The sequence below is a fragment of the Homo sapiens genome, chromosome 1 (assembly GCF_000001405.40).
Source record: "Homo sapiens chromosome 1, GRCh38.p14 Primary Assembly".
In the NCBI taxonomy this organism is placed as follows: domain Eukaryota; kingdom Metazoa; phylum Chordata; class Mammalia; order Primates; family Hominidae; genus Homo; species Homo sapiens.
Window position 1 is genome coordinate 155,168,861 of NC_000001.11, and position 16,751 is coordinate 155,185,611.

The 16,751-nt window shown below is 55.8% G+C and overlaps 2 protein-coding genes across 14 annotated transcripts, besides 8 other annotated features; one reads left to right on the plus strand and one right to left on the minus strand.

The window, feature by feature from the left end:
* Positions 1-547: 547 nt before the first annotated feature.
* On the minus strand, positions 548-4,444 carry KRTCAP2 (keratinocyte associated protein 2). The gene is made up of 5 exons (NM_173852.4): positions 4,361-4,444; positions 3,878-4,032; positions 3,705-3,768; positions 931-997; positions 548-700 (listed from the first exon to the last, which is right to left on the minus strand). The coding sequence occupies exons 1-5, from the start codon at positions 4,362-4,364 to the stop codon at positions 580-582; spliced, it is 411 nt and encodes a 136-aa protein (NP_776251.2). The 5' UTR covers positions 4,365-4,444; the 3' UTR covers positions 548-579.
* Positions 3,824-4,103: an enhancer, noted in NCBI's record as "active region_1809". NCBI's record gives its function as "activates an Ori minimal core promoter by ATAC-STARR-seq in GM12878 lymphoblastoid cells {active_cell/tissue: GM12878}" and the evidence as "EXISTENCE:reporter gene assay evidence [ECO:0000049][PMID:35858748]".
* Positions 4,207-4,715: an enhancer, noted in NCBI's record as "H3K27ac-H3K4me1 hESC enhancer chr1:155145543-155146051 (GRCh37/hg19 assembly coordinates)". NCBI's record gives its function as "activates a minimal SCP1, AML or CMV promoter by ChIP-STARR-seq in naive H9 embryonic stem cells {active_cell/tissue: H9 hESC(naive)}" and the evidence as "EXISTENCE:reporter gene assay evidence [ECO:0000049][PMID:30033119]".
* Positions 4,294-4,393: an enhancer, noted in NCBI's record as "active region_1810". NCBI's record gives its function as "activates an Ori minimal core promoter by ATAC-STARR-seq in GM12878 lymphoblastoid cells {active_cell/tissue: GM12878}" and the evidence as "EXISTENCE:reporter gene assay evidence [ECO:0000049][PMID:35858748]".
* Positions 4,594-4,643: an enhancer, noted in NCBI's record as "active region_1811". NCBI's record gives its function as "activates an Ori minimal core promoter by ATAC-STARR-seq in GM12878 lymphoblastoid cells {active_cell/tissue: GM12878}" and the evidence as "EXISTENCE:reporter gene assay evidence [ECO:0000049][PMID:35858748]".
* Positions 4,716-5,224: an enhancer, noted in NCBI's record as "H3K27ac-H3K4me1 hESC enhancer chr1:155146052-155146560 (GRCh37/hg19 assembly coordinates)". NCBI's record gives its function as "activates a minimal SCP1, AML or CMV promoter by ChIP-STARR-seq in primed H9 embryonic stem cells {active_cell/tissue: H9 hESC(primed)}" and the evidence as "EXISTENCE:reporter gene assay evidence [ECO:0000049][PMID:30033119]".
* Positions 4,974-5,063: a silencer, noted in NCBI's record as "silent region_1396". NCBI's record gives its function as "represses an Ori minimal core promoter by ATAC-STARR-seq in GM12878 lymphoblastoid cells {active_cell/tissue: GM12878}" and the evidence as "EXISTENCE:reporter gene assay evidence [ECO:0000049][PMID:35858748]".
* TRIM46 (tripartite motif containing 46) lies at positions 4,989-16,111 on the plus strand. 13 transcript variants are annotated; one of them, NR_176037.1, is made up of 12 exons: positions 4,989-5,169; positions 5,741-5,781; positions 6,526-6,787; positions 7,028-7,371; positions 8,072-8,215; positions 8,335-8,430; positions 9,142-9,395; positions 9,632-9,753; positions 9,949-9,986; positions 10,772-11,074; positions 12,992-13,289; positions 14,937-16,110. NR_176037.1 is itself a non-coding variant. In NM_001406247.1 (11 exons), exons 2-11 carry the CDS (start codon positions 5,758-5,760, stop codon positions 15,328-15,330), a joined length of 2,241 nt encoding a protein of 746 aa, NP_001393176.1. In that variant the 5' UTR covers positions 4,989-5,169; positions 5,741-5,757; the 3' UTR covers positions 15,331-16,110. The 13 variants fall into 13 exon arrangements, 9 of the variants coding, with proteins under 9 accessions (NP_001393176.1, NP_001393174.1, NP_001243528.1 ...); NR_104150.3 differs by lacking the exon at positions 5,741-5,781 and adding an exon at positions 11,575-11,819; NR_046329.2 differs by lacking the exon at positions 4,989-5,169 and adding an exon at positions 6,326-6,412 and having other exon boundaries at positions 5,734-6,108.
* Positions 5,233-5,527: a silencer, noted in NCBI's record as "tiled region #7923; HepG2 Repressive non-DNase unmatched - State 23:Low, and K562 Repressive non-DNase unmatched - State 8:EnhW". NCBI's record gives its function as "represses a minimal TATA promoter and a strong SV40 promoter by Sharpr-MPRA in HepG2 and K562 cells {active_cell/tissue: HepG2 | K562}" and the evidence as "EXISTENCE:reporter gene assay evidence [ECO:0000049][PMID:27701403]".
* Positions 15,933-16,440: an enhancer, noted in NCBI's record as "H3K4me1 hESC enhancer chr1:155157269-155157776 (GRCh37/hg19 assembly coordinates)". NCBI's record gives its function as "activates a minimal SCP1, AML or CMV promoter by ChIP-STARR-seq in naive H9 embryonic stem cells {active_cell/tissue: H9 hESC(naive)}" and the evidence as "EXISTENCE:reporter gene assay evidence [ECO:0000049][PMID:30033119]".

Consider the following 16,751-nt stretch of genomic DNA (forward strand, 5'->3'; position numbering starts at 1 on the left):
CCAGAACAAACAGGCTAGGAGCAGTTGATCACCTGGGGAGTCTTTCTAAACACAGCCATATGTTCATGCTGAAGTAGAACAGATAGGTCCCAGGGACAGCATCAGGAGAGAAGTCCCACCTATGCACTTGCAGCAGGGGGCTGATTTGCTTAAGGCAGGGAGCTGGAGTGGCAAAGATACCACGTGGAACCCCGTGAAACAGTGTAGGTATACGGGACCTTTCCTTCCTTTACTCTTTTGCTCCAAGATCCCTTCTGGTACTGACGGACAGGACTTCCTGCATTGCAGCCTTTACCCCTTTCCCCAAAGAACACGACTGCAGAACATTCATGTACTTTTCTTCCATGATGAGACTCACACAAGTATATGCCACTCCAGTGGCACTGACAGTATTCAACAGATAACTGGTAAAAATTAATGTGGGAGGAAGGAAAGCCTCACTATTCCCAAGGTCTGAAAACAGAAGGTGCCCAAATGTCTTAACATTCTGTACATCTAAGCTGGATACTGGTAGATGACACCCACAACATATCACAACTCACAGAGCTACAAAGAATCAACTTTATTGAACATTCAGGGTCAGTTTCTCTTCTTGCTCTTGCCTGTGACCTTGGCTGGTGTGAGGACTGGAGCTGCTGCCTGGTACAGGGTGGAGGAGATCTTGTTGATGTAGTACAGACCAACCATGGAGAAGATGAAGCTATATGGTGAAGACAGAAAGGTCATGGCACCAGTGGGCATCTGCCAGCCTGGTGCCTCCTAGGGAAGACACTAGCATCAAGGAAAGAATCCAAGTTCAAGTTTAGGAAAACGGGGAGGGAGAACAGAGAGAGAGGTAGGTGTGGAAGGAAAAACTCTGGCACCATCACAGTAAGATCCAATGCCAAAAAACGGAATGCTACACCCCTTACCCAGCTGTCAAGAACATACCAGGTGGTGACACAGACTCGGTGGATGAGGCCAGATGCAAAGAGAGCCAACAGGAGGCACAGGAGAACTAGGGAGGCAAGAAGAACAAGGAGGGCAACGGTCAGAATGGAAATACTAGGCATCTGCACATGGAGTCCAGGAGAAATCCGGGGCTCTCTGAATCCTGGGGAACCTGCTTAGAAGGGTAAGCGTGACTACAGCAGGAGGATTCTGATTACCTTAATGATACCCAGAACATGGAGGTAGGAGGTTGAGTGTGGTGGCTTGCACCTGGAATCCCAGCACTTCGGGAGGCTGAGGTGGGCAGATCACTTGAGCCCAGGAGTTTGAGACCAGCCTGAACAACAAAGTGAGACCCATCTCTTAAAAAAAAAAAAAATTGAATTAAAAAAAATTTAGCCAGGTAGTACAGTGGTACACATGCCTGTAGTCCCAGCTATTCAGGAGGCTGAAGTTGGAGGAACCCTTGAGCCAGGAAGTTCAAAGTTGCAGTGAACTGTGATCGCACCACTGCACTCCAGCCTGGGCAACAGAGTGAGACCCCGTCTCCAAAAAAAAAAAAAAAAAAAAAGAACATGGATGTAGATGTATGCTTTTTTTTACCAGCTCTGCCCCATATCTCACATAACTTCCCTACCCTGGCTTTCCTCCCATAAAAGGAAAAAGGAAAGGTGATGGACAACAGAGTCTGAAGGGCAAGGTGTGTTCCCATTTGGGGAACCCAGTTAAACCCTTTCCAAAAGAAGCCAGACAATGAGAGTCAATTCATTAAGCTGGGTGACCAGTGGTGGAAGTTGAAGGCCTTGCTCCCTGGACACAGGTTGGAGGGCAGAGTGCTTGGATCTACTTCTTCATGGGGGCAGGAAAGGATTTTAGGTTACCTGGAATATGATGGGAGAGAAGGTGAGAGGACAAAAGCAAAGACAAACAGGGCCCCACCTGCCCAGGTGGAGAGGGCAGAGAAGGCAAAGTGGGCCAAGAACTTTGCCCCACCACAATGGCATCTTTTCTTTTTTTATTATTTTTTTTTATTTTTGAGGCAGAATCTCACTCTGTCGCCCAGGCTGGAGTGCAGTGGTGCAGTTTCAGCTCACTGCAGCCTTGATCTCCTGGGCTCAAGCGATCATCCCACCTCAGCTTCCCGAGTACCTGGGACTATAGGTGCGTACCACCATGCCCGGCTAATTTTTGTATTTTTTTGGAGAGACAGGGTCTCTCTATGTTGCCCAAGCTGGTCTTGAATTCCTGGGCCCAAGCTATCTGCCAGCCTACACCTCCCAAAGTGCTAGGATTACAGGCGTGTGCCATCCCACCCAGCCAATGGTTTCTTTCAGAAGCAACTGAAAAGCCAGGCACAGTGGCTCACCCCTGTAATCCCAGCACTCTGGGAGGCCAAGACGGGTGGATCACTTAAGGTCAGGAGTTCAAGACCAGCCTAACCAACATGGTGAAATCCTATCTCTACCAAAAATACAAAAATTAGCCAGTTATGGTGGCGCACGCATGTAATCCCAGCTACTCGGGAGGCTGAGGCAGGAGAATCGCTTGAACCTGGGAGGCAGAGGCTCCAGTGAGCTGGGTTCACACCACTGTACTCCAGCATGGGTGACAGAGCGAGACTCCATCTCAAAAAAAAAAAAAAAAAGAAGCAAGTGAAGGTAATACATATGGAAACAAAACCTAACAGAGAGAAGTCCCGGGGCTACTGGATGGAAAGAACTCTGAAGCCTGCAAAAGGGCTATGCGGAGAAAGCAAGTCCTAGAGGGGGGCAAAGAAATGAGGGCAGCCAGGCACAGTGGCTCACACCTGTAATTCCAGCACTCTGGGAGGCTGAAATAGGAGGATCACTTGAGCCCAGGAGTTCGAGACCAGCCTGGGCAATGTGGTGAAACCCCATCTCTACAAAAACTTAAAACAGTAGCTGGGTGTGGTGGCACTCACTGGTAGTCCCAGCTACTGGTAAGACTGAGGAGGGAAGATTGCTTGAGACCAGGTCAAGGCTTCAGTGATCACATCCCTGCACTCCAGCCTAGGCGACAGAGTAAAGCCTTGTCTCAAAAAAAAAAAAAAAAAAAAAAGAGAAAAGATTAAGGGCAACCATGATAGATCTTTGTTTTACCACATGAGGGTTTTACATGAGATTGCATCTGCTGTGAATTTCTGAGCACGTGGCATTCCTTAAGTAATCTGGCCTTGACACTTAATTTGCTTTATAAACTTAATTCTCCATAAATAACTGAATCATCAATTCTTGATTACATGAGCAATTGAACAAGAATTATTCCAAACAGGAAATAATCTAACAGTTATTCTGATTTGGTCAGGATTCCTGCTGCCATAGATATTTGGTGCCTCTAGTATTTAGGCTCTTCACAATTCCCTCAAATAAGTAGAATTCTCTAATATTGAGTTAACTTCACATCAGAACTCCATAGTGAACTTGGTCCTGCTGCTTCTTCTGGTGGGAACAAGGACCGCCTCCCAGCGAATAGATGCAAAACATCAGCCCAAATTTGCCTGTTCCCCTCAAACCTTCCCTGGGAGCTGGCCAGAAGGTACCAAAGTTTCTTGCTTTCAAAGGCCTTCTCTTCCAGCTCCAACTCCAGGAGCTATACAAGGTGCAGAATCGAAAAGCGTCATCTGTCTTCAGACAGCTTCAGTAAATATATTTCTCCTTAACAACCTTTCACCTAAGCATCTGGAAATTCAATATCATGTTTCAGGAGGTTAAAGAGGAGAAAGTTCAAATACTCAAGCTCCAATATTCACTTACTCTCAGGGAAGATCTTTGCTTGGAATCCTTTGCCAAAGACAAGATTCTCCAGATTATTGAAGGCCTGGTTGAGGGAGTTAAGGAGTAGGGTGTGCAACGGGGACAGAGCTGTGTGGGGAAGGGGAAGGGCACATGCCTACGTGGCCCGCCCCCTCCAACTGCAGGGAGGATACAGTGAGCGAGAACACGAAGAGACCCGAACCAAGCAGGCCGCCCTGGATGGTGAGCCACTCGGTGGAGGCCAGCTGACGGCTGTACATCTGCATCCCAGCAAAGAGCAGCAGGGACAGGAGGGAGGAGAGCGCCAGCGAGGTGCCCGTACCCACCACTGGAGGGGATGGGAGAAGGGACGGAGAGTCAGGCTCCGCCCTCCCTCCGGCAAGCTACGGGCAGATCAGCCGGTCCGGAAGCTCGGTGGGCCGACCCCCTCCAAGAACTCCCGGGACTGCAGCCACACGCCCCAACTCCCCACACCGCGCGGCAACCCCTACGTATTCCCCAGCCCCGGACACCCCGAACCCTCCCGTCCGGTGGAAATGCCCGCTCCCGGTGGAACCCAGGACACGTCAGCTCTGTCGGGAGAGGACGAGGAAAGCTTGTCCACCCAAACCCCGACCCCCTCTAGGACTTCCTGGGGACCCCACCGGTCCTGTTACCCATCATGCCCCGCCCGTGAGTCCAACCGGCGCCTCTGGCCAAGAAAGGCGAGCTGAACCGGGTGCGGTTAGCTATGCGCATGCGTCAGCGCTTACCGCGGACTTGCTACTCCTCGCGTTCTCCTCTTTCTTCCTCTCAGTGCCTGGACGCAGCGCCCTCTTGCGACAGGGAGGAAATAATGCGTCGAGGGGGCATCCTCGGCCACCGCCCTGGTCCTCAGGCTTTCCTCGTACCTGGTGCGTCTGCTGCCACTCTGTACAAGGTGCACTTATCTCTTTAAGTCATTGGGCCCATGCCTGTGGCATCTATCCCATCTCTGTCTTCTTTGCCATTTCTTTCATCTCTAGTGCACGTTCCTCAAACCTCCCTGCCCCATGCCTCAACATCTCCCAACCTAAAATTTAGTGCTCCCAACCAGGAACTCATTTTCCTCCGAAACTAATCCCCCGCTTTATATGAGTAAAATTAGGAGCCAATGAAAAATGAGAATGTAAGAAATGGCTCCCCCGTCAAATACCTTTCCATATTCCCCAACCCCCCGACCGGCTTTCGAGAACCACGTGGGGAGAACTATTTCCCACCCCCTACCCCGACGGGCGCTGTTCGAGGCTGGTCCCGGGAGCATGCGCAGTGACACCTCAACCCCCAGCCCTCCTCACACCCCCACTGGGCTCCTGCATTAAGCCCGGGGTTCGCAGCCGCAGCCGGGATCGGGCACCCAGGGGCGGGCGGGCACGGTAGGGCCATGGCAGAGGGTGAGGATATGCAGACCTTCACTTCCATCATGGACGCACTGGTCCGCATCAGTGTGAGTTAAGGTGGGGTCGAGGGAAGGGGAGGGGGCGTATAGGGTTCTGGGGCAAGCTGGGACCTGGAACAGGTGGGGATCCAGGAAGATGCTGGGATGTAGACAGGGGGCTAGCGATGGCAGAAACGGCTGGGAGGGTCGGGATGCAGGTATGAGAGGGTAATCCCGGGAGCAGCCCGGAGGTGAGTGCCGTGAAGGCGTCGGTGTGCTGGAGCGTGAGGAGGAGCTAGGAGCAGCCCAGACGCAGCGGGTGGGCTGGGGTGGCCTCCAGCAGTGCACCGGGGCTGGGGCTTCAGGGGAAAGGCCCTGTTATGAGAAGAGGGACGTGTGAGCTTGGATATTTTCCAAGAAAACTGAGGACAGGTGGGGGATGATGTAGGAGCCGCCCCACAGTGCAGTTCCCAATTTGGACCCCTCCCCAAGACCCCACCCCACGCACCCCCACTCAGGGCTGCTTCCGAGCCTGCGGTTGTCATGGCAACCCGTGCCTGGCTCTCCCAGGGGCGGTGCCAACCGTGTTCCCCCCCACCACTTCCTCCCCCCCTCCTTGTTCCTCCCTCCTTTGTGTCAGCTGCGCCCCTGACCGGGATGGCTGCGAAGAGAGGGACCAAGGTGAGGTGTGGGGGTGGGGCATAGCCTGAGGACCCCCACTCTCGCCACCAAGAGGGGGAGGGGACTTCCGGTGGGGAGGGGGCGAGTAGGCGGGGCTCTTGATTCCCCCGCTAGTTCGGAGAAGGGGGTGCCGCTGACCGGGTTGCGCTGCGGGAGAGGGCGGGAGGGCCTGATGGGGGCGAAGGGGAATGGGTTGGTAAGACCGATGGGGAAGTGAAGGATGGGGAATGGAGGCTGGAGTGGCCGCAGGCCGGAGCTGCGGCAGGAGGACGTATGGAGCGAGCAGGATGGAGTGCCAACCTCGCCTGGCTATCGGGAGGAATCACGGCATGGGGGTGCTGCTAGAGAAGGGAGTGGGGGTCTGCATGGAGCTGCAGAATGGGCGGTGTCCTTGAGAAAAATGCCAGGGGCAAGCTGCCCAGAGATGGGGGATGGAGGCAGGTGAGGGGGCTGCCAGCTGGGGCTACTGCAGCTGGAGAAATGGGGATTGGGCTTGAGGCTGGAGCAGGCACAAGCTCCAACCGTCCCTCCTCTGGGCCTTTAGCTCTGCAGCGGGGAAAGAGAAGCAAGGGACAGAGGTCTGGGAAGGTCTGTGAACCAGCCCAAGGCAGGTGCTCTGGAAAAGCTGCAGGTAGCTTGTCTTGCTCCTTCCTCAGACCCCTAGGGTATCCAAGGGCAGCCAAGGGGCTGCTGAGGTATGCCTAAGTGTCCAAGCGCTGACCTAGCCTCCTGGTCCCTCCACAGACCAGCATGAAGAACATGGAGAAGGAACTGCTGTGCCCAGTGTGTCAAGAGATGTACAAGCAGCCACTGGTGCTGCCCTGTACCCACAACGTGTGCCAGGCCTGTGCCCGAGAGGTCTTGGGCCAGCAGGGCTACATAGGACATGGTGGGGACCCCAGCTCCGAGCCCACCTCTCCTGCCTCCACCCCTTCCACCCGCAGCCCCCGCCTCTCCCGCAGAACTCTCCCCAAGCCAGACCGCCTGGACCGGCTGCTTAAGTCAGGTGGGACTGGGGCCTGTAGGGTGGGGATGGGAACGCTGAGCTATTCATCAGGAAGATGGAAGAAGTCCATCACTGGTCAGAGGCATCTGTCTGTCTTTCTGGGGGGTGGAGATACTGCTTACGCAGGCTCTAATGAGAGCTGAGCTCTGGCACAATGAAAATCTAATTTAATTAAACAGGCTTCCCCACACCCAGCCAGCTGTAACTCTCATGTCCTCTACCTCCCTGGTTCACCCACAGGCTTTGGGACATACCCTGGGAGGAAGCGAGGTGCTTTGCACCCCCAAGTGATCATGTTCCCGTGCCCAGCCTGCCAAGGTGATGTGGAGCTTGGGGAGCGGGGTCTGGCAGGGCTTTTCCGGAACCTGACCCTGGAGCGTGTGGTGGAGCGGTACCGCCAGAGTGTGAGTGTGGGAGGTGCCATCCTGTGCCAGTTGTGCAAGCCCCCACCACTAGAGGCCACCAAGGGCTGCACAGAGTGCCGCGCCACCTTCTGCAATGAGTGCTTCAAGCTCTTCCACCCCTGGGGCACCCAGAAGGCCCAGCATGAGCCCACCCTGCCTACCCTCTCCTTCCGACCCAAGGTGAGCCAGCCCTTCCAAGGCCTGGGGAGGGAGGGACATGCTGCTGCAGGTGGGTGGGGGTGCCTGGCATTGTGGGTTTCCAAAAGGAAGTGGGAAGGGTTTTCCAATGCTAAGCACCTATCTCTGTAATCTGTCACAAAGTCACTGGACAAATCATTCAACAACTTTGGGCCTCCATCTCATTTACATCCCTGTAGGGGGATGGTAGTATCTGCCCTGCAATGTCCATACCTAAAGGGTTGCTGAGAGGATGGTGTGAGATAATGTTTGTTCACTAAAAAGTGTTACCTGCACACTGAAAAGGTCTGTGTGCATTCACTCACTGAACAAATATTTATTGAGCACCTATGTGCATGGTGCTATTCTAGGTGTTGGAGATACAGCAGTAAACAAGATGGACAAGGTTAATTATTAACTACCAGGCAAAGATTAATTGGCATCATTATTACTGTTATTACCATATATCCCAATGAGAGAGATGAAGGGAGGTGCAATGCTGGTGAAATGGGCACCGCCCGGAGACTGCAGGAAAGGCTCTTTGATGCCAGTATGTACCACCAGGTGGCACTGTGGAGCACCACCAGCGGATGTCTCCACTCCCATCTTGCCAGTGGAGGAGGGCACCAAACTGCTGTAGTGGTAGCATAGCACCCTTACCCACACCATTGTCTGACCATCACATTGTTCTTTGTGTCCCTAGGGCCTTATGTGCCCAGACCACAAGGAAGAGGTGACCCACTACTGCAAGACATGCCAACGCCTGGTATGTCAACTCTGCCGGGTGCGGCGCACCCACAGCGGGCACAAGATCACACCAGTGCTCAGTGCCTACCAGGCCCTCAAGGTAAGGACCCCCCTTATCCAACCCTAGTGCTAACTCACACTCTTACCCTCTTGCACCTCCTCCCAACTGCTGGCTTCTGCAGAGCTGGGCTTGATGCCCACCTCTTTCTTCCCCCTCAGGACAAGCTGACAAAGAGCCTGACATACATCCTGGGAAACCAGGACACGGTACAGACCCAGATCTGTGAGCTGGAGGAGGCCGTGAGGCACACCGAGGTGAGGGAGGGCACAGAGGTAGGCCCTGGGCCCTGCCTGGGAGTAGGGGCAGGAAGGGGGTGTGGGTGATCATGACCCAATCACCTTGTTGCTAGCTCAGGAAGCCCGTGAGGTGTCCAGGTTCTGGTTAAACCAGGTTTGCAGGAACACCAGTGCCCCAGGCCAGGCTGTACCTGGGCTGCAGGAGGGGGCAGGGTGGCTATAGCTCAGGAGAGTGCTCGAAAAACCCCATGCATAGCTCAAAAAACCCCACGCGTAGCTCAGATGCTCTCAGGCTCAGGTGCCTACCGAGGATGTCACGCATTCCCAGTGCTAGAGTGAGGTGATGACTGATACCTTCTGCCAGGTTGCTTGAGCTGGCTGACATGGGGATGGACAACTAAGGATGGCATAGATGCCAGTGGACATTAATTAGTGCAGTCCAAGTGGACATTAGGGTAGCCATGGCCTCGTTCATTTGGATGAGTCACTAAGGGGCAGAGATTATGATGTGGGGTTCCGGGAAGGTTGGCACAAATGACCAGGAGTTGAGTCCATCTAGAGGTGCCTTTGCAGCCATGAGCCCAGGCCCTGTAGGAATGGGTGAGTAGGATTTCCCCAGATCCCTTGTGACCTTAGCCATGCTGTGGCATCCAAGGAGGCCAGCACAAGTGCTGCCTCCAAAAAGAAGATAGTAAGTCACGCATCCTTTGGGTGTTGCTCCCTGGGCAGGTGAGTGGTCAGCAGGCCAAGGAGGAGGTGTCGCAGCTGGTGCGGGGGCTGGGGGCTGTGCTGGAGGAGAAGCGGGCATCACTGCTTCAGGCCATTGAAGAATGCCAGCAGGAGCGGCTGGCCCGTCTCAGCGCCCAGATCCAGGAGCACCGGAGCCTGCTGGATGGCTCAGGTCTGGTGGGCTATGCCCAGGAAGTACTTAAGGAAACAGACCAGCCTTGCTTTGTGCAAGCCGCCAAGCAGCTGCACAACAGGTACTCAGGGGCATGGGCTCCTAGGGGGGCAGGGACATCATGGATGTGACCAACATCTAGGACAATGTCTACAGTACTGCCAGGTGGAGAACTGGCATTCTAAGGATTCTCATGAGGCCAAACTGATACCAGCTCCCAAAGCAGTTCCCAAGGCTCTAGGGGCAAGCAAGACAGAATTGAGGGGAAGGGAGACTGCCCACATGGCAGTGCCTGACCCTTTCTTGCCCCCATCCCAGGATTGCCCGAGCCACTGAAGCCCTCCAGACATTCCGGCCAGCTGCCAGCTCCTCCTTCCGCCATTGCCAGCTCGACGTGGGACGTGAGATGAAGCTGCTGACAGAGCTTAACTTCCTGCGAGGTAAGGAGATGGCCAGGCCCCATGCCCAACCAGAGCCTTCTTCCCTTCCTCCCCAGCAGCGGGCCCGGGGGGCAGTGCCTACCGGGGACCTCCCCGGCCTCCTGCCCGGCCTGGCCAGCCATTCCTCCCACCCAGCCCACCCTGCCACACCGTCCTACCGCGCTCAGCGCTGCTTCTCCCTCTCTTTGTTTGTAGGCTGTGGCCACCGCGGACTCTGCTCCGGAGCACCCCAGGCAAGTCAGCGGCCCTGCCCCGGGGGCCCTGCCCGCCGCCGGGCCCCCTTCCCACCCCGCTGCTCCCACGCATCTCAGCCAACCACTCATTGCTTCCTTCTCTTTCCTGCCTTGCCCCGACCTCGTGGTCCTCCCACTGGACCAATGCCCTGTCTCCCTTCTGCCTTCTTCAGGCGCTTGCGTAATCCTGGCCCTTCTGACCTTTTGTCCTTGTGACCCTTGCCCTCTGGCCTTGCACTTCCTTTCCCTTGACCTCCAACCCCTGCCCTCAGCTTTTGCTGTCCCTCTGTTGTCCCCACTTTCCACCTCGCTGCCTCCTAAATCTCTCTTCTGAGCCTGGTCCCCTTCCTTCCTGCTCAGCGCCCTCTTGCCTGTGGGCTCCAGTGGCCTTTGCCTGCCCCTCCCTGGGGCTCCTCTTAATTCATAGAATAACTGAGCTGCAAGGGCCCCCAGAACTTACCTGATCTGATACCCTCATTTGACAGGGGAGGAAACTGAGGCCCAGAAAGGGGAAGTGACTTATTCCAGGCCAGAGTGAGGTAGCAGCAGCCCAGAACTAGCACACAGGTGTCCTGACCCCCAGCCCAGCGCTTTCCTGCCTCGTTCTCTCTTGGGCCCTGCCCTACCCCTCCTGTGCCCAGTTCCCAGATGAGCCCTTCCCCAGCTCCCTCTCACCCACACTCACCCCCCCGGCTCCCGCTGCTTTCCCTTTTCCTGCCTGCCCCTGCCCTCCATGCCAGGCCAGTGGCCAGGCCCTGACTGACACCCGCTGTCTCTTCCAACAGTGCCTGAGGCCCCCGTCATTGACACCCAGCGCACCTTTGCCTATGATCAGATCTTCCTGTGCTGGCGGCTGCCCCCCCATTCACCACCTGCCTGGCACTATACCGTTGAGTTCCGGCGCACGGATGTGCCTGCTCAGCCAGGCCCCACCCGCTGGCAGCGGCGGGAGGAGGTGAGGGGCACCAGTGCCCTGCTTGAGAACCCCGACACGGGCTCTGTGTATGTGCTGCGTGTCCGCGGCTGCAACAAGGCCGGCTACGGCGAATACAGTGAAGATGTGCACCTGCACACGCCCCCGGCACCTGGTGAGTGGGCAGGCACAGGTGGTCGTGCAAAGGGCATGGGGTATGCCAGGGCCTAGGCCCTGACGGTTGGTTCCGGTGGCCGCTAGAGAGGCCATATAACATAGTAGGTCTCACACACACTAGCTCTGGAGCTAGACTGCTTGGGTTCAAATCCCAGCTCTGCCTCTTGCCAACTGTGTGGGTGGCTTCTGGCAAGTTTTTACCCTCTCTGAACTTCAGAGTCCTTTTCTGTAGGGATAACGATAATACTGGCCAGGTGCAGCGGCTCATGCCTGTAATCCTAGCACTTTGGGAGGCCAAGGAGGGAGGATTGCTTGAGGCCAGGAGTTCAAGACCAACCTGGCCAACACAGCGAGACCCGATCTCTAAAAAAATAAATAGGCCAGGCGAGGTAGCTCATGCCTGTAATCCCAGCACTTTGGGAGGCCGAGGCGGGCGGATCACAAGGTCAAGAGTTTGAGACCAGCCTGGCCAACATGGTGAAACCCCGTCTCTACTAGGAATACAAAACTTAGCCAGGCGTGGTGGTGCGTGCCTACAATTCCAGCTACTCGGGAGGCTGAGGTAGGAGAATCGCTTGAACCTGGGAGGCGGAGGTTGCAGTGAGCTGAGATCGCGCCACTGGACTCCAGCCTGGACAACAGAGCAAGACTCCGACGTCTCGGAAAAATAAATAAATAAATAAATAAATAAAGGCCAGGCAAGGTGGCTCACACCTGTAATCCCAGCACTTTGGGAGGCCAAGGTGGGTGGATCCCCTGAGGTTGGGAGTTTGAGACCAGCCTGACCAACATGGAGAAACCCCATCTCTACTAAAAATACAACATTAGCTGGGTGTGGTGGCGCATGCCTGTAATCCCAGCTACTTGGGAGGCTGAGGCAGGAGAATTGCTTGAACCCAGGAGGCGGAGGTTGCGGTGAGCCGAGATCGCGCCATTGCACTTCAGCCTGAGCAACAAGAGTGAAACTCTGTCTCAATAAATAAGTAAATAAAATACGTAAAAAATAAATTATTTTTGGCTGGGCACAGTGGCTCACGCCTGTAATCCCAGCACTTTGGGAGGCCGAGGTGGATGGATCACGAGGTCAGGCGTTCAAGACCAGCCTGGCCAACATAGTGAAACCCCGTCTCTACTAAAAATGAAAATGAAAATAATTAGCTGGGTGTGGTTGCAGGCGCCTGTAATCCCAGCTACTTGGAAGGCTGAGGCAGGAGAATGGCTTGAACCTGGGAGGCAGGGGTTGCAGTGAGCCAAGATTGCGCCACTGCACTCCAGCCTGGGGAACAGTGTGAGACTCCGTCTCAAAAACATATATATATTTTTAAAAAATGATAATGCTTACCTCATAGAGTTGCAAGAATTCAACTGGTTTGAGACGATCAATGGGAGTCTGAGTACAGTGTCCGGCTCATGGTTAGGGCTCAAGAATGTTACTAAAGTGACTAGAAAATAGTTCGGACTCCAGGGGGTGGGCATAAGAGGGAAGCCTTGCCACCCAAATAGGGGCTGGGTATAAGGGCCAGGTGTGAACCCAGAGTATGGGCTGGAAGGCACAGATTGATGGTGATGGGAATGTCACCAGGTGGAACAGAATAGTGGGAACTGTCCATGGGGCTGGCCACAAGTAAGGGGTTCGAGGGAGCCCCATGAGTCAGCCAGGTCCGGAGCACTGACTTCTGTGCCCACTGCCATCACAAAAACTCTCTGGGGTCCCACGCCCATTTGGAATGCCCCCTTCTTTTTTCCTCATGCCCCCCATTCCAGTTTCCCATGTCCTGTTCTCCTGAACCCCCTGCCTGTTCCTGGTGACTGAACCCCCTTGCAACGCGTTCCCTGTTCTGCAGTCTCACAGCCCCCAGTGCCAGTGTTTGTCCCTGAAGTTCTTGCTCCATCTCAACCCTCTCCCTCCTTCCAGTCCTGCACTTCTTCCTCGATAGCCGCTGGGGCGCAAGCCGAGAGCGGCTGGCTATCAGCAAGGACCAGCGAGCAGTACGGAGTGTTCCAGGGCTGCCCCTGCTGCTGGCTGCTGACCGGCTGCTGACCGGCTGCCACCTGAGTGTGGATGTGGTCCTGGGCGACGTGGCTGTGACCCAGGGCCGCAGCTACTGGGCCTGCGCCGTAGACCCAGCCTCCTACTTGGTCAAGGTGGGCGTCGGGCTGGAGAGCAAGCTTCAAGAAAGTTTCCAGGGTGCCCCCGATGTGATCAGCCCCAGGTCAGACCCCTCTGGAAGGGATGGGGTGTGGGGGTCCTGGTGGGAGTGAGGGGCACAGAAGGGGTGGCAAGTGGAGCACAGACTTGCTAGGGTGGGGCTGGGAGGGGATTAGGAGGAAGTAGTAGGAGCCTGGAAGCCAGGCTGGGAGGCCTGTGTCCAGGAGACGCATGGGCTCAGCAAAAGGGCTTTTGAGGACTGATTTTCAGAGCATGTCGTGTGGTCAGGGAAAGGGATGATAGAAGAGGGAGCCATCTCTGCTTCCTTCCAACCATCTGTCACTCTGGATCAACACACCATCTCTCCAAGCATCTGTGTCCTTTCTTCCTAACACTCCATTTCCAACATACCTTCTCCATAAAACCTTTGCTCTCCAAGACCTCCTTCACCCGTATCTTAAAATTCTTCCCTTAGCCGGATGCGGTGGCTCACGCCTGTAATCCCAGCACTTTGGGAGGCTGAGGCAGGCAAATCACTGGAGGTCGAGAGTTCGAGACCAGCTTGACCAACATGGAGTGACCCCATCTCTACTAAAAATACAAAAAAAATAGCTGGGCGTGGTAGCGCATGCCTGTAACCCCGGCTACTCGTGAGGCTGAGGCAGGAGAATCACTTGAACCCGGGAGGTGGAGGTTGCGGTGAGCCAAGATTGTGTCATTGCACTGCAGCCTGGGCGACAAAAGCAAAACTCCTTCTCAAAAAAAAAAAAAAAAAAATTCTTCCCTTAAACATCCCACCTCCATAACCCTCCTCTCCCCAACTCCCTGTTTTTTTTTTTTTTTGAAATGGAGTCTCGCTCTGTCGCTCAGGCTGGAGTCTAGCGGCGCGATCTCCGCTCACTGCAAGCTCCACCTCCCGGGTTCACACCATTCTCCTGCCTCAGCCTCCCGAGTAGCTGGGACTACAGGCACCCGCCACCATGCCCAGCTAATTTTTTGTATTTTTAGTAGAGACGGGCTTTCACCGTGTTAGCCAGGATGGTCTCAATCTCCTGACCTCGTGATCCGCCCACCTTGGCCTCCCAAAGTGCTGGGATTACAGGCGTGAGCCACTGTGCCTGGCCCCAACTCCCTATTTAACACCCTCCCACTAATGCTTTGCATCCTAAGCCTTCTCCCCAGCACTCTATCCCCCAACACCTTATTTCTTCAAAATGCTTTCTCCCCAACACAAACCCCTCCTAAACCCCATTGTCCCCAACCCCGCATACCTCTAACACCCTTCATTTGTGACACCAATCCACCCTCATCTCTCTCCCGACACCCACCTTCCCAACATCCTTTCTCTTCTTAGTCACTAATCTCGGATTCTTCCAATGTCCTCTAATCCTCAGAACCATCTCCCCAGCATGATTTCCCCAAGACCATTTTTCTCAATGCCTTTCCGCGGGCTATACCAATGCCATGTCTTTCCTGTCCGCCTGCCCCTCTCTTGCCAATGTGCTTTCCTCTCAGTGCTCTCTTTCCACCAAACCCAAACCCCTGACCCTATACTCTAACCCCTGCCTCTTCAGCGTTTTCTTCTCAACACCCAAAATCCATCCCTTCAACCTCTTGCTCCTTAACATTCCATCCTTCCAGCGTCTCCCTCTGGTACCTCATCCGTCACTCCATCCCTCAACAATCTCGTCCCCAACACCCGCTTCTGCAGGTACGACCCGGACAGCGGGCACGACAGCGGTGCCGAGGATGCCACAGTGGAGGCGTCGCCACCCTTCGCTTTCCTAACCATTGGCATGGGCAAGATCCTGCTGGGGTCGGGGGCAAGCTCAAACGCAGGGCTGACAGGGAGGGATGGCCCCACAGCCGGCTGCACAGTGCCCCTGCCACCCCGCCTGGGCATCTGCCTGGACTATGAGCGGGGCCGGGTTTCCTTCCTGGATGCTGTTTCCTTCCGTGGGCTCTTGGAGTGCCCCCTGGACTGCTCAGGGCCTGTGTGCCCTGCCTTTTGCTTCATCGGGGGTGGCGCAGTACAGCTCCAGGAGCCAGTGGGCACTAAGCCTGAGAGGAAAGTCACCATTGGGGGCTTCGCCAAGCTGGACTGAGCCTTCCAGGCCCCTCATGCAGACCTGGGGTCCTCCTGGGCCCTGGCCCCCAAACCTCTTGGCACCCGGTTGTTACCCCCTGGCAGCTTCTCCCCCAAACTCTCCTACCATGTGGCCCTGCTCCTTCTCCCGTGTCTGTCTTCCCACAGTTTTCTCTTGACCCAGGGGCTCTCTTCTGCCCACCTCTCTGGATGGCCCCCGTTCTCTCCATTGCTTGTTAGCCAGGCCCCCACCCCCACTGAGTCTGCCCTATGACCTGCCTTTGGCATGTTACCCAAGCCATGGAGAGAGCCCCTTCTCCATCCCTGTCCTGTGCCCCCCAGGCTGATTGGGAGGGAGGGCACCTGGAACACTGGGCATGATCTCCAGCTCTGCCCTTGCCCTGCCAAGCTCCCTGCCCTGTTGATGCTGAACTACAGCCTTGGGACAGGCAGGCTTTGGGGCTGGACGCTGTCCAGGCATTCCTGGTGAGGGGAAGGGGACCCTGTCATCCTGCTTTATTTATTTGGGTCCCAACACCCCGCAGCCGCATGCCCCTTATGTCCCTCTTCTCCCTCTTGCATGCTTTACCTGTCCCACACCCATGCCAATGTGCCAAGTCTCCCTTGGGGACCCAGCTGAGTCTGGGTGTTCCCATTGGGTTGGGCCAGGCAAGGCCTCTGGTGCCCGCTGCCGTCCCCCTGCAGTGGGCTCTGCTAGGCCTGTGCTGAGCAACAGCTGTTATTGTCATGGTTTATAAACAATAAACTGTGATGCCAGGCACATCTCTGCCTTCCCTGAGCGCAATCATTCCTGTGAGTTTCTGTGCTGGGTGTGGTAGGCGGGAGGGAGCAGGGTGCTAGGCTGTGGTTCTAGGCAGGAGCAACCAATGGATCTGGTGCCTGAGAGAGGAAGGCCCCAGGCCAGGTGCTCTAAGCCTCCTGCCACACGTGTCCTGGCCCGGCCTGAGCGCATCACAGCTGCCAGGGAACATAGCTCTCTGGCTGCTGGTGGCAGGCCCCAATCAGGGCTTCCAGGCCTGCAGCACAGGCCCTGGGGGAATGCGGTCGAGGGACAGGCAACGTGCCTGGGCCCAAAGGGGTCAGGGAACCAGAACCACTTCCCCATTCCCAGGGTGTTGTGGAGCCCACCCCAGGGGCAGCAGGCTGGTGGGGCAGCCGGGGTCAGGGAGGGGGCTGGGCCTGGTGCCAGCGCCCGGATCTGACCCAGCCTCTGCTTATCTCAACCCTGTTGACTCTGGGCTGTTATCACTGCCCAAGGATTTACTTCACACCCGGACAGCTAAGAATAGAGCCACCTGGGGGGCACCATGCCAGGGGGCAAGGAGGGCGTGGGCCAGGCGAGGAGAGGGGAGAGCCACTGGCACACAGAGCTCAGTCACGGAGCCCAGTCACGCTAGCCCTCCAAAGCCCGCCTGGGTT